Source organism: Homo sapiens, chromosome 2 (genome assembly GCF_000001405.40).
Source record: "Homo sapiens chromosome 2, GRCh38.p14 Primary Assembly".
In the NCBI taxonomy this organism is placed as follows: domain Eukaryota; kingdom Metazoa; phylum Chordata; class Mammalia; order Primates; family Hominidae; genus Homo; species Homo sapiens.
The window spans coordinates 215190855-215202975 of record NC_000002.12 but is presented as its reverse complement, the minus strand read 5'-3'; the positions used below and the strand labels follow the sequence as shown (position 1 = coordinate 215202975).

General features: G+C 40.7%; 1 annotated feature.

Moving 5' to 3' along the window:
* Positions 11203-11403: a silencer, noted in NCBI's record as "peak4041 fragment used in MPRA reporter construct". NCBI's record gives its function as "represses an SCP1 promoter by STARR-seq MPRAs in K562 erythroleukemia cells {active_cell/tissue: K562}" and the evidence as "EXISTENCE:reporter gene assay evidence [ECO:0000049][PMID:32103011]".

Sequence of the window (12121 nt, the reverse complement as noted above, 5' to 3'; positions counted from 1 at the left end):
TCCTGGTTCCTGCACCTGCTCACCTGCATGCTCCCCCTCCTGCAAGGGGTTGAGAGTTGTGGGCTGAGTAAGCCAGGCACCCCTGTTGCAAGGCCCACGGGGGCGTCAAAGGAAATTTCCTGTTTCACTGGGAATTTTTTTTTTTTTTTTGAGATGGAGTTTTGCTCTTTTCCAGGCTGGAGTGCAGTGGCATGATCTCGGCTCACTGCAGCCTCCACCTCCCAGGTTCAAGTGATTCTCCTGCCTCAGCCTCCCAAGTAGCTGGGATTACAGATGCCTGCCACCACACCTGGCTAATTTTTTGTATTTTTAGTAGAGATGGGGTTTCACCATGTCGGCCAGGCTGGTCTCGAACTCCTGACCGCAGGTGATCCACCCACCTCGGCCTTCCAAAGTGCTGGGACTACAGGGATGAGCCACCGTGCCCAGCCTCACTGGGATTATTCACAGCATGATGCCTGTGTTCAAGATCAAGTGGCCCAACAAGCAGGAGTGGAAGCTTCAGGCCTGGACCTGGAAACTCATAAAGCACCACCTTACCATATTCTATTGATCAAGCAGTCACAGACCTCAGGTACAAGAGAAAGGGGTATAGATTCCACCTTGTAATTGGCAACGGTGTCAAAAAATTTGGAAGCGTACTTCAATGCCGCCACAAAAAGAGTGCGTGGGGGTTTCTGGGAGCTACAATTTTCTATTACATAGGGAATAATTATACAGGTGTTTACTTTATAACTATGCTTTAAACTCTACATATGTGTTTATGAACACTTCCGTGTGTATAACCAAAAAAAAAATTAATGCTTAAACCTCTGTGGGAGCTTTGAGTGTGTTGATTTGGGGAAGATGAGCATTGCTGGATTTGGAAGAAGGTCACAGTTGCTTCCTGATAACTCCCAGGGATCTGACAAGATAGGTCTTATAAGGGAAGGGTAGGTGCTAGTTCTCCCCTGTGAACCATTAGGTGGAGGAACTATTTATCGGCAGACAAGCCTATAAGTTTGCAAAGCCATAAGGCTGATTTCTCTGATCCCCACTAGTGAGGAAGAGATACAAATACCACAGAACAAAGTGAGAACCCCTGACACATCCAGATTACATGGAATTCCAACACAATCCCAGCCTTTTCCAGCATGTTCCAAGTCAATCATATATTTCAGCCATACTGTAAAAGTATTACCCTCAACTTTGCTTTCCATTTTCCAACTTTAGTACCTTTTGTTACTATGCTCTTTTCTCAATTTGCCATGGCCTCTCCAGCCCCTGTCTTCACCAGGCAATGTATTTCAAGTTTCTGGTCAAATGCTGTCTTCTTCATAAAGACAATCCTCGCCTTTCCCCAAAGGTTATTTCTTCTGCCTCTCTTTCTTTCTCTCTCTTAAACCACCATAATACTTTCTCTGAACCCTCTTTTTGGGATCTTACATTTTTGTTACATACATATTGTGGCTCCTTGTCTTCTTGCCTTAGCCCACCTACTTGGCCATTATTATAAACACTATTGTTGAGTAAGTGAAAAACAATCATTTAAAGTAACAATTTTCCAGCTTTCCATCCTGAGGAGCTTTGACTTGTTAAGTTTCTTGGGAATTATTTAATGCATGTTCTACTTGTTTCAATGTCCCAACACTATCCCCCACCGTATAACAGTCTGGAGAGAAAAGCATCAGACAAAATCGCTTGGTAACTCAGAACAAAGAGTTAGAACCCTCGGTAGCTGAGAGTGATTGGTCTATTCTGTTGATTATCTCACTGATTGCCAGGAAAAATATGCCTGGTCTGATTGACCAGGCACGTCCCTCCTTCTTCCTCACTTTCTCACGTTTGTTTTCTTTTTTTTTTTTTTTTTTTTTGAGAAGGAGTCTTGCTCTGTTGCCCAGGCTGGAGTGCAGTGGCGCGATCTCGGCTCACTGCAAGCTCCGCCTCCCAGGTTCACGCCATTCTCCTGCCTCAGCCTCCCGAGTAGCTGGGACTACAGGCGCCCACCACCGTGCCTGGCTAATTTTTTGTATTTTTAGTAGAGACGGGGTTTCACTGTGGTCTTGATCTCCTGACCTCGTGATCCGCCTGCCTCGGCCTCCAAAAGTGCTGGGATTACAGGTGTAAGCCACCAAGCCCGGCTATATTTATTTATTTATTTATTTATTTATTTATTTATTTATTTATTGAGATGGAGCCTCGCTCTGTCGCCCAGGCTGGAGTGCAGTGGCGCAATCTCGGCTCACTGCAACCTCCACCTCCCAGGTTCACACCATTCTCCTGCCTCAGCCTCCCGAGTAGCTGGGACTACAGGCGCCTGCCACCACACCTGGCTAATTTTTTTGTATTTTTACTAGAGACGGGGTTTCACTGTGTTAGCCAAGATGGTCTTGATCTCCTGACCTCGTGATCCACCCTCCTCAGCCTCCCAAAGTCCTGGGATTACAGGCCTGAGCCACCGCGCCCAGCCTCATGTTTGTTTTCTTAAAGCTTTTCCCTTGGCCAGGGAGGATGGACTTCTCAGGAAGAGAAATCAGAAACAAGTTGGATACACAGTCCATACAGAAAAGAGCATTTTATCTATAAACAAACCCTATAGGGGTCTGTTCCCTTCCTCCTCCTGATGTTCTTAGAATCACCTAAGTGGAAAGAAAGAGGATCTCTAGCATGAAAAAGGAGAAAAAATGAGATGTCAGTGAAAACAATCCACTAATAATGGTATAAATATAAGACATTTACCTCAATTCCTACAGCTTTATTTTTCTTTCTTTTTGGAGTTAGAGAAGTAGAGATACATCCCCTGGAGGAAAGGAACTTTAGAATTAAAATTAACATGTCATTTTTCTACTTCTTTATTATTCCTCAAAACTTCTGTTTTTTCTGGTTAGGCACAGTGGCTCATGCTTGTAATCCTATCAGGAGGATCGCTTGAGGCCAGGAGTTTCAGAGCAGCCTGGCAACATAGTGAGACCTCATCTTTACAAAACAAAACAAAACAAGAAAAACCTTTGACTTTTTTCTATATTCTCCATTATGATTATAGCTACACCCAACTAATTTCCCAAGATGGAAGCTGAGAGTTACCTTTGACTCTTCCTGTGTTCATCCCCCAGGTTCGATCAATTTCTAAGACTTGTCAAATCCACCTCCTGCATGTATGTATATTTCCACCACCTAGCATAGTGTCAGCATCCTAGTACAACATAGTAGCAATCTATGGAACAAAAGAGACAGAAGTGGGGGTGGGGGGGAGAGAGAGAGATTGGAAATTGAGAGCCTTGGATATCAAGCTCTTAGCCAACGACTACAGGGCTAATTAATGGCTGAGCTAGGTCTTGAATCAAGGTCTCTTAAATGCCAATCTAGTTCATTGATTCCCTCTTGTTGCATTTTATCCTCTTCATCTACAAGTATTTTGGTTTTCAGGTAAGCAGGAACAAAACAGGAGGCATTATTATATCTCACATCATTCTTTTACTAGTTAAAATTCAAAGCTGGAGAGGGCATTTGATCTATCTTCATTTGCCTAAGAACTTCCACCACCCACCAGCCTCTGTCTCAGGCAACGCTTGGTCAAGGTGAGGAAAGAACAGATGCACCAAAAATATATTAAAGGAAACACGTCAGCTGAAACATTAAGAAATGATAATTTTAATAGGCAGGAGGAATGGTTTCTCCTAAATAAACTGCTCAAAGAAAAGTAGGTGAGGTTAGACAGAGTGACACCCACGTGCTGGAATTTCAGACCTTCAAACAAGGCAGTTTGTTGTTTCGATTATATAAGGCATCACTGTAATTCTTTATGAAACAAAGGCTAGGGCTGATCAGTCTTCACACTGGAGCGATGTTGACAGGCTCGCTGACAGACCTGGCTCTCCCTTCAGTGCAGAGCACAGACACATTCTCAAAGTAGTATCTGCAGTAAAGACCACAGTGGTGGAAAAAGATTCAGAAGAATCAAATGGCGTAGACTGACTATGTACACTCCAGGTATTAGTTGCTGGTTAGCTTTCTTAAAGAAATAAACACTGCTGGCTGTCCTATTCTCGTGCTCGTTATTGGTTTTATGTCAAAATTTTCTCATACTCACATTTGTCTACCCATAGGACAAAAAGGCATTGTCATAGAGCATGTGGTGAAATGCTTGCATTTTAAAAAATTTGGGACAAAAGAGCAAAGACGTCCTATATTTTGGGAAATGCTACAGAGGTGAAATAAAATATGATGGGAATGTGTCCAGACCGCCTACTCAGGTTACCTTAAATTTACCATCAAAACAAAATCCCAATGTTTAGAAGTTTGGAGAAAATATGAAATACCTCTTAAAATTGTGTGTTTTGTTTTTCTTTTTTTTGGTGAGACTTCTTATGTACCAACCCCAGCTATGTCTTCCCATCACTGTTTGAACATCACTGCTTAATTTTTCAGAGATGACTTCTTAAAAAATTGTATATATTTAAGGTATACAGCTTGATGATTTGATACAGGCATACAATGTGAAATAATCACCACAATTGAGATAATTAACTAATCTGTCACCTCACATCGTTACCGTTGTTTTTGTATGTGGTGAAAATAGTATGTACCCTCTTAGCAAGTTTCATGTATACAGCACAGTAGTGATACTTCAAGTCACCATGCTGTACATTAGATCTCCAGAACTCATTCATCTTGCATAACTGAAACTTTGCATACCTTGAGAACATCACCCAAACCCATGCCCTGGTAACCATCATTCTACCCTCTGCTTTTATTTTAGACCCTACCTATAAGTGAGATCATGCAGTATTTGTCCTTCTGTGTCCAGCTTATTTCATTTAGCATAATGCCTCCCAGATCTACACAGTGATAACTCCTGAGCCCTTTTCCTTCAAATCGCGCATGAATGGCCTCTATGGTTTACACACGAAAGGACCTGCTTTACATGCCTGTCCATCACACAGCATCTTTGTCTCTCTCATTTGTGAGTTACCAACTCTTCTGTGTCTACTCCTGTGCTTTCCTGTACCTCCTTGTTGTCTCTGAGTTACCCACACACCAACTGAGCTCTTGACTTCCACGGAGGCAGAGGCATCTGCTTGGCAAAGGTCCTAGCTCACATTCATCATGCTCTTCTTTCCGGCTGTTCTCCAATGATGCAGATTTTAATTATTTTCAGTGGAAGTTAGTGAATAGCCAGTATCAATAAGACAGGCAGTAGGCTAAAGAAAGAAGAGGAGTAAAAGACGCCTCGACAATCTATAAACTATATACAGTCATTAATCACCTTTTAAAAGATGGTGGAAGAAGAATTTTAGAAGTGAGGATATAAAGAATATTTCATTGGGTCTACCAAATTGATTCTCTGTGAAATCTTTCAGAAATGAATTCTCTCTCTCTCTCTCTTTCTGACTTTTTGTTATATTTTGGCTCTTGTTATTTTTGTAGTGATATACTAATTACATTTAAAATATAATAATTGAGCTCGATAGCCCCTGTTGTTCCAGAAATTTCTAACACACTTTATTGTTTGCCAGAGGATTAAATATAATTGTTGTAACTCTTTCCTTGAAGAAATAGAAGGTAAAATGATTTGCACACAAGGTCACTTTTTCCAATATGTAACTTGATAGCCATTCCTACAGTGTCTGAAGTTAAAGAAACTATTTTAACAAAAATTGAGCATCCTGCTACATATAATAAACTCTGCATTGAAATATGTTCTCCAGGCTGGCCAGGCGCAGTGGCTCACGCCTTTAATCCCAGCACTTTGGGAGGCCGAGGCGGGTGGATCACAAGGTCAGGAGATTGATACCACCCCGGCTAACATGGTGAAACCCCGTCCCTACTAAAAGTACAAAAATTAGCCGGGCGTGTCGGCGTGCGTCTGTAATCCCAGCTGCTGGGGAGGCTGAGGCAGGAGAATGGCATGAACCCAGGAGGCGGAGCTTGCAGTGAGCCGAGATTATGTCACTGCACTCCCAGCCTGGGCGACAGAGCAAGACTCCGTCTCAAAAAAAAAAAAAAAAAAAAAAAAAAAAGAAATATGTTCTCCAGGCTAATTGCAGATTCTGAGATACTTTTAGACTATCCAGAAATTTTTCCATTCTGGCAATTTGTTACATATAGATTCAATCTGAACCTTCAAATTAACTTTTCTTTTAAATTTATTTATTTTTTATTTTTTTATTATACTTCAAGTTCTAGGGTACATGTGCACAACATGCAGGTTTGTTACATATGTATACATGTGACATGTTGGTGTGCTGCACCCATTGACTCGTCGTTTACATTAGGTATATCTCCTAATGCTATCCCTCCCACCTCCCCCCACCCCATGACAGGCCCTGGTGTGTGATGTTCCCCATCTTGTGTCCAAGTGTTCTCACTGTTCAATTCCCACCTACAAGTGAGAACATGCAGTGCTTGGTTTTCTGTCCTTGTGATAGTTTGCTCAGAATGATGGTTTCCAGCTTCATCCATGTCCCTACAAAGGACATGAACTCATCTTTTTTTATGGCTGCATAGTATTCCATGGTGTATATGTGCCACATTTTCTTTTTCTTTTTTTTTTTTTTTGAGATGGAGTCTCGCTCTGTCACCCAGGCTGGAGTGCAGTGGCACAATCTGGGCTCACTGCAAGCTCTGCCTCCCAGGTTCACACCATTCTTCTGCCTCAGCCTCCTGAGTAGCTGGGACTACAGGTGCCCGCCACCATGCCTGGCTAATTTTTTGTATTTTTAGTAGAGATGGGGTTTCACCATGTTAGCCAGGATGGTCTCAATCTCCTGACCTTGTGATCTGCCCGCCTCGGCCTCCCAAAGTGCTGGGATTACAGGCGTGAGCCACCACGCCCAGCATATGTGCCACATTTTCTTAATCCAGTCTATCGTTGATGGACATTTGGGTTGGTTCCAAGTCTTTGCTATTGTGAACAGTGCCGCAATAAACATATGTGTGCATGTGTCTTTATAACAGCATGATTTATAATCCTTTGGGTATATACCCAGTAATGGGATGACTGGGTCAAATGGTATTTCTAGTTCTAGATCCTTGAGGAATCGCCACACTGTCTTCCACAGTGGTTGAACTAGTTTACAGTCCCACCAACAGTGTAAAAGTGTTCCTGTTTCCCCACATCCTCACCAGCACCTGTTGTTTCCTGACTTTTTAATGATCGCCATTCTAACTGGCGTGAGATGGTATCTCATCGTGGTTTTTAATTTGCATTTCTCTGATGGCCAGTGATGATGAGCATTTTTTCATGTGTCTGTTGGCTGCATAAATGTCTTCTTTTGAGAAGTGTCTGTTCATATCCTTTGCCCACTTTTTGATGGGGTTGTTTGATTTTTTCTTGTAAACTTGTTTAAGTTCTTTGTAAATTCTGGATATTAGCCCTTTGTCAGATGGGTAGATTGTAAAAATTTTCTCCCATTCTGTAGGTTGCCTGTTCACTCTGATGGTAGTTTCTTTTGCTGTGCAGAAACTCTTTAGTTTAATTAGATCCCATTTGTCAATTTTGGCTTTTGTTGCCATTGCTTTTGGTGTTTTAGTCATGAAGCCCTTGCCCATGCCCATGTCCTAAATGGTATTGCCTAGGTTTTCTTCTAGGGTTTTTATGGTTTTAGGTCTAAAATTTAAGTCTTTAATCCATCTTGAATTAATTTTTGTATAAGATATAAGGAAGGGATCCAGTTTCAGCTTTCTACATATGGCTAGCCAGTTTTCCCAGCACCATTTATTAAATAGGGAATCCTTTCCCCATTGCTTGTTTTTGTCAGATTTGTCAAAGATCAGATAGTTGTAGATGTGTGGCATTATTTCTGAGGGCTCTGTTCTGTTCCATTGGTCTATATCTCTGTTTTGGTACCAGTATCATGCTGTTTTGGTTACTGTAGCCTATAGATTCAATGCCATCCCCATCAAGCTACCAACAACTTTCTTCACAGAATTGGAAAAACTACTTTAAAGTTCATATGGAACCAAAAAAGAGCCCGCATTGCCAAGTCAATCCTAAGCCAAAAGAACAAAGCTGGAGGCATCACACTACCTGACTTCAAATTAACTTTTAAAGCATGAGTGTGACTAGCCAACCAGCCACTGCATACATATATATATAAAATCAGTTTGTAAATGTGAAAGACTGTAGGGAGAAATGGCAAGGAAGGATGAGATCATCAGAAAGGATTGAGAGAGTGCAGATATTTTGTAGTTTAGAACTTTAGAATAAAGCAGCAATCTACGTTTCACTGCAAGCTAAGAACTATTTACACAATTGTTCAATTAAAATTGAAATAATGTTGTAGTTAATCTTCTACATTTAGGAGCTTTATTATGGAATTTAAAATCAATACGAGTGAAGTTCAAGAGAGGGCCATTGCATGAACATGTTGGTAATTGTAAAAAGTTCTGCAATAAATCCCTAAAACACGAAAGTTTTCACTATTTACAAATGAAGCTGAGATAAAAGCTAATATAGGAAAATGAATCTGTATATAGAATTTTTGAAACCTAACTTTTGAAGCAAATTTGATATCTTTCAAAAAAAATCTATCTTTCCTTTTACATAACCCTCACCCTCTACTCATTTAACCCACAGGCCAAATTCCTCTTTGCTGTTTCTTACAGTTAAATTTCTTTTTTTTCTTTTTTCTTTTTCTTTTTTTTTTTTTTTTGAGACAGAGTTTTGGTTTTTGCCCAGGCTGGAGTGCAATGGTGGGATCTTGGCTCACTGCAACCTCCACCTCCCCGGTTCAAGCCATTCTCCTACCTCAGCCTCCCAAGTAGCTGGGATTACAGGCATGCACCACAACAGCTGGCTAATTTTTTGTATTTTCAGTAGAGATGGGGTTTCACCATATTGGTCAGCCGGTCTTGAACTCCAGACCTAGGGTGATCTACCCGCCTCAGCCTCCCAAAATGCTGGGATTACAGGCGTGAGCCACCACACCTGGCCTCTTAAGGTTAAATTTCAGAGGTACCACTTGGTGAGAAATGGGGAATTTCTTCCCTGGGGACCATGGCCAATTAAGTCTTTCTGGTTTGTTCCTTCAACGTTCTTTTGCTTCCCAACGAGATAATTTTTCTCTCTCTCTCTTTTTTATTTTTAAATGGAGTTTCCCTCTTGTTGCCCAGGCTGGAGTGCAATGGCATGATCTTGGCTCACTGCAACCTCTGCCTCCTGAGTTCAAGCGATTCTCCTGCCTCAGCCTCCCGAGTAGCTGGGATTACAGGCATGCGCCACCACCCCCAGCTAATTTTGTATTTTTAGTAGAGACAGGGTTTCTCCATGTTGGTCAGGCTGGTCTCGAACTCCCAACCTCAGGTGACACACCCACCTTGGCCTCCCAAAGTGCTGGGATTACAGGCTTGAGCCTCTGTGCCCGGCTGATAATTGTTCTCTTACTAGATCAAGTGCATGTGTTTTTATCCTATAAGGGTTATACAGCCTGGCCTACACAGAAAGCCTGAGAAAGCCCGTTCCAGCTGCTGTCATTCCTTTTCCCCTAACCTCTCACAGGGCGGCTTATGATGTCTTTGCTACTGAGATTAGTGTTCTGTTTTTTTTTGTTTTTTTTTGTTTTTGACTTGAACATATAGCTTGGTGAGTTTTTTTTTTTCTCTTGATTATGAAGATTCCTTACAGTGCTCCTTTGGTTGCTGTGTTTTTTTGTTTGCTCTAAGATCAAAGCTGAGATTTTTCCAACATTGGAAAAGCAGGGTTTTTTCTTTTGCAAGTACTACGGACCCAGCCACTCTGCCATTTTATTCTGTTTTGGGGAAATCTTGGGCTAGTCCTCCTCCCATTATAAGAACATAGTGTTTGTTTGGACAGGTTTCCTGAGCTGAATTGCCGTTTGGTCACTGAAGGACACACAGATCTGCTTCTGCTCTTCCACCAGGAGGATAAACAATTAGCACAGAGCCCACCAAACGATCAGACCTAGGTTCATTGAATTCACTATTTGTAGACCATTTGAGAGGAGTTGCTCCTAATTGTCTAATGAGTTAGTCTGGAATTAAATACAAATGAATAATTTTTTTGGAGTGGTCATTTGTTAGCTTCATTTGCTTCTGTTTTGATTCAATTTTGGGATTCATTTTTTCATATTCTTTTTATTTTATATCATTTTGTATATGCTTCAAAACAGAAACATATATTCAACAGAAGTTCTCACTCCTATTGGCCCATTTCCATCTATCTATATAGATAACTATTGCCATTAGCTTCTGGCTTACTTTTCCTACGTCTCTTTCTGCAAAATTAGCAAATATTTGTGTATGTGTGTGTTTCTATATATATTTGTTTTCATTTTTCCTATATAAAAGGCAGCATACTATATACATTCTATATACACATAGCCATATACTACACATGCTATATAGATCACAATATGTATTCATTAACAATAATAATCTCAGAGATCTTTCTTATACTTTTTGCTTGTTTCTGCATAGTACTCCATTATGTAGATATTGTAGTAAAGATTTTTGGTCAACGTATCCCCAAAGAAAATTTACAGTCATGGAAATTGCACCTCATAAAAGTTGTTAAATATTAAAAACTTATGGAGAAGCACATTGGAAAAATTAGCCAAAGTTAGAATTGGTAGAAATAAGCCATAAAAAAAACAAAAGCTAAAACTTCACATGGTAAGGTTTATTATTGACTAAAAACTAATATCAGAATCAACTCTTAACAAAGTTTAGATATGTCAAATTTGATGTGGGGAAATTGAGCTTGTTAGAAGGAAGAGCTGCCAGAGAAAAACCACATGGTGGAAGCCATAATTGGAAAAATATTATGTTTTCAAGAAATCCAATCGAATAATCATAGTCTCAGAGTAATATTTAAGTTAGAAAGAATCAATGTCAATAAAAGTAATTTCAGTTACATTAAAGATAAAAATGAAAAAAACAAACTGTGCTTTATAGAAAATTGATCAAAGAATCAAATTGGCTTAATGGAATGAGCTCTAGAAAATACATTCTTGATGAAAATTAAAATCGATCATGTTTGTATAATTCTGCTTAAAATATTTTATACAGGATCAAAATATCTACTGGGTCCTGAGGTAGAATCAAAACAATGTGTATGGATGTGTCCTGGGCTGCTTTTCCACAGTCCTCCCCTTGATTTTTTTTCTTCTTCTCTTCTTTCTTTCCGTCTCTGGTAGTCATCAATGTGCCATTTTGGAGCTGCTTAACTATGCATCAATTAGGCTTTTCTTTGAAGTATTATTTTTCTCCTTCCCATTTCCTACTGACTCAAAGTGTCCTCCCTCTTCAGATTATGGGTGACCCTCTCTCCTCCCTCTCTCCTCCCATCCTGAGTCACCCATAATCTTTGCTGACATTTGTATACGTCACATATTCATTGGCATGCTGAAGGGAGCACCCAGTTGTCCTTGTGAGTGCTCTCACCACCTTCCTTTGAAACCTATCTTGACCTTTCTGGCTCCCTGCTTCTTCTCCTCTCTTTGCCCTAATTTAAACTCTTGATACCCTGAAATTTAGCCCAACTCTGGCTGGGACCAGTTGCATTCCTGGTTGATTAATTCCAGGAGCTCTCAGTGAAGTGCTCCAATGACTAAGCATCTCATCAATTCTGCTGCCAGTTCCATGCTGGTATTGTGTCTTGGTGTGACAATTGTGTTTAGGCTTGTGCCTTGATAAGTGTTCCATAGTGTGCCCTCATTCCAGATTCTGTATTCTTTTTTTGTCTGGGTTTCTGTTTTGAGAGCATGTTTGGTACTTGTGTTTCACTAAGACTGCTTTGTCCGCCTTCTTAAAGGGCTTAGTGCTGCCCTTGAACTCTAGCCTCAGATCTAGGACCCTGTTTCCTGTTTCCAGAGTTTCTTGATGTCTATCAGCCACCAGCCTGGCTAGACCTCTGAGTATTACCTACTCCTGATCACCAATCTCCAGGTTCTCCCTGTCCACTGGAACCACCATTTATCTTTCATTGAACCTCCCAGGCATTGAGCATTTGACTAGACTCCTTACTCATGCACCCACACTCTTCTCCAAGTAGGTCATAGTTCAAGTTATGCTTCTTTCCATTCCTTGACAATGGCACCACTCTTTAGCACCTGCTCAATTCTGGGAAGTGATTTCCATGTCCAAGTCTCAAATTAAGCCTTAACTTCAAATTTCAATTTTG